Genomic DNA, 2,616 nt, shown 5'->3' with positions numbered 1-2,616 from the left:
TGAGCTGTTTTTGAAATGTGCCGATGTCAAAGAATAATGATGTTTTTCTTTCACTGACTCTTCGATCGGTCCCTTGTCGGATATTCGGGAGGATAGGTACTTTGAGAAATGTGTGTGAGAGAGAAAGGGAAACCTTAACTAGCCGGGGTCATCAAACAATCCTATACTTGAAAATGTTCAAGACTAACGCTGGGCCACCTGTTGAGCAAAAGGCACTGGCAGTTTTCTGCTACCATGCACTTGCGGTTGAACTTGCTTCATGCCCTTAGATAACGGGGGAAGGTCATAATATAATTGTATTTTGAAAGCTTATTGTTCTGCATAATTATTTCGTGAATTTTTAAGGAGTTTTCATTATTGTGAATTTTTTGTGAGTAAGAACCATTCTGCTACTCCCATGGAAGACCTTCAGGTGACCTTTTTTCCACACTTGTAAAAATAACTGCTCCTCGATTTTAGTATTTATGTTAAGAATTTATGGCTGGGTGCGGTGGCTCACGCCTGTAATCCCAGCACTTTGGGATTACAGAGGCAGGAAAATCACTTGAACGTGGGAGGTGGAAGTTGCAGTGAGCTGAGATCATGCCATTGCACTCCAGCCTGGGCAATAGAGTGAAAAAAATAAAGAATTTGTGCTATGGGGGCCGGGCACGGTGGCTCACGCCTGTAATCCCAGCACTTTGGGAGGCCGAGGCGGGCGGATCACGAGGTCAGGAGATCGAGACCATCCTGGCTAACATGGTGAAACCCTGTCTCTACCAAAAATACAAAAAATTAGCTGGGCATGGTGGCGGGCCCCTGCAGTCCCAGCTACTCGGGAGGCTGAGGCAGGAGAGTGGCGTGAGCCAAGATCTCGCCACTGCACTCTAGCCTGGGCGAAAGAGCAAGACTCCAACTCAAAAAATGCTATCGGAAAATGTTTAAACATCTAGGAATCATTTCTGAGTGGGCTTATACTGTGGTCATGATAACAACTGGGGATCCACTGAGTAGTCTGGTCTGTTTCTGTAAGCTTGTAGCCCAGCAGCTAACTCCCAGGGGAGTTAAGTCCACCCTCAGGTGTACCAGTCAGGCTATGCTGGGGACATGCAGAGGGATGGGGAAGAGCCTGAGAATGGGTTGGGAGTGCTGGAGCTAGGAGGTGGAGAGAGCCTTGAGCAATTCTGGAAAGTAGGAAGAAGCATCGTTTGCATATCTGAATCTGCAACAGGGAGAGGGGGATAGCAAGGTCCAGGGAGTGGCAGTTGGTCACTTCTGGGATGGAGAGAAGTGTATGTTTAGAGCAACTCTTTTGTATCTTGGAAAAGGCAGTGGAAGCTTCTGTACTAGTCCGAGTAGTCTGTAATGTGGATTGCTACCCTCAATGGCTGCATTGAGAGCGAGTTCTCTTCTTTCCCCAAGTGTTAATTGCCTGTTGCAAAAGAAGCTGAGGTGTAAACATTGATGGGTGGAACGTCTCACCTTCTCATTTGCACAAAACTACAATTTCAGCCTCTTCCCTGCCACTGTACACAATAAGTGATTTCACATCATGCCAGTGATTTGGGGGAGAGAAGGGGCTTGATATTAATAAAGGTAGTTGATAAAGGAGGAGAAAGAGGCTTGATATTGATAAAGGTAGATATTGAAATGGTAGTCATAGTACTGGCAACAGATTTCCAACCCTGCTTTGTGGCTTCGTGGTTCAATTGCAAGGCCCAGCTGACTTACCTAGGCTGAAATGTGAGAAGTGTCATTGCCAGATGAAAGTTTAAGATCCCATACGTGATCCTCTTTCCAGGCAATTGGTAAATTTTGCAAAGTGGCTGTTCTACCAGCCTGGGTCACCATGCTGGTACACTTAGTTAACCCATGAGGGACATGGAATATGAGCAACCCATAAACCTTTGGGGTGAGAAGCCACTGAGCCAAACAGCCTGCCCTGTCTTGAAATCTTGTTTAAGCTGTCATTTTATAAGGAAAATTAAGCAAAATCCTTTTTTTTGTTTTGTGTTTTGTTTTTTTTTTGGAGACGGAGTCTTGCTCTGTCAACAGGCTGGAGTGCAGTGGCGCGATCTTGGCTCACTGCAACCTCTGCCTCCCGGATTCAAGTGATTCTCCTGCCTCAGCCTCCTGAGTAGCTGGGCTACAAGTGCATGCCACCATGCCTAGCTACTTTTTTTGTATTTTTAGTAGAGATGGGGTTTCACCATGTTGGCCAGGGTGGTCTCCATCTCCTGACCTCATGATCCGCCTGCCTCAGCCTCCCAAAGTGCTGTGATTACAGGCATGAGCCACCTCGCCCGGCTGAGAAATAATTTTTAAAAACATACTTGTTCATCTGAAGTGGTTAATACAAACTCACTCTCATGCAGTGGCCGTATTTTATTACTTTTCAGTGTCCAGGACTTATTTCACAAACCTTTAAACAAGTTTACAGTGTTGATAAAGGAAGTGCTCTGTTGCAAATTGTCTTAAGACAGCGCTTATTCCTTTGTATTGAATGACAGGAAGAGATCCATTGCTGATAATAGAATATGCCTCAGATCTTACTTCCCCAGAACTAGCCTGGGCACTTTGTTTAGTTCACTAGGTCTTTATCTCAGCCCCTCATCAGTGTATAGAAGAAATAACACC

This window comes from Homo sapiens, chromosome 7 (genome assembly GCF_000001405.40).
Source record: "Homo sapiens chromosome 7, GRCh38.p14 Primary Assembly".
NCBI lineage: Eukaryota > Metazoa > Chordata > Mammalia > Primates > Hominidae > Homo > Homo sapiens.
This window is presented reverse-complemented; position numbering follows the sequence as displayed.